The 558-nt window shown below is 52.3% G+C and overlaps 1 annotated feature.

The window, feature by feature from the left end:
• Window positions 251–300: a silencer, noted in NCBI's record as "silent region_19078". NCBI's record gives its function as "represses an Ori minimal core promoter by ATAC-STARR-seq in GM12878 lymphoblastoid cells {active_cell/tissue: GM12878}" and the evidence as "EXISTENCE:reporter gene assay evidence [ECO:0000049][PMID:35858748]".

The following is a 558-nucleotide window of genomic DNA, read 5'->3' as shown; positions in this document are numbered from 1 at the left end:
CCGTTCCTTCCAGCCCCAGCGTTCAAGGGACTGCGAGTGGACAGCCCTGTCTTTATCTGTGAGCCGTTTGAAATCTGTAGCAGTAGAATGGGATTGTCAGTGTGGACGGTTTTGTGGGATGAGGGCATTTGGTTTATCAGTTCCCTGATTCTTAGTTAATAGTGATTTTCTGAGGCATAGAGGATGAGACTCAGTGTCTCTTCCCTGTAGCCACGGGTTTTACTTTCAGATGACTCATTTGTGGGGAGGATTTGGGGTTTTCTAAGGTTTGGTTGACTGTTGACAAGCTCAGCCTGGTGCCGCGCCTTCTGCAGCGAGGCGGAGCAGCCCTCCTGGACCTTCCTGCAGGTTCGAGGTCTCTCAGGGTGGTTTTTGTGGGCTTGTCCTGAGAGATGAGAAGGTGTTCTGTGGGAGTTGTGGTGGGATGGTCCAAGGACCTCTTGGAAACCATTTTTCAGACTAACTGGACCGTAGAACACCCATCCCTGTCCTGTCTGGAGTGTTGGGGGAAGCACCGCTGGAAACTCAAAGAGCTAGACGGCCCTGGCTGGCGCTGTA

This window comes from Homo sapiens, chromosome 8 (genome assembly GCF_000001405.40).
Source record: "Homo sapiens chromosome 8, GRCh38.p14 Primary Assembly".
In the NCBI taxonomy this organism is placed as follows: Eukaryota; Metazoa; Chordata; class Mammalia; order Primates; family Hominidae; genus Homo; species Homo sapiens.
Note: the sequence above shows the minus strand (reverse complement) of the source record. Positions and strands in the feature narration are given on the sequence as shown.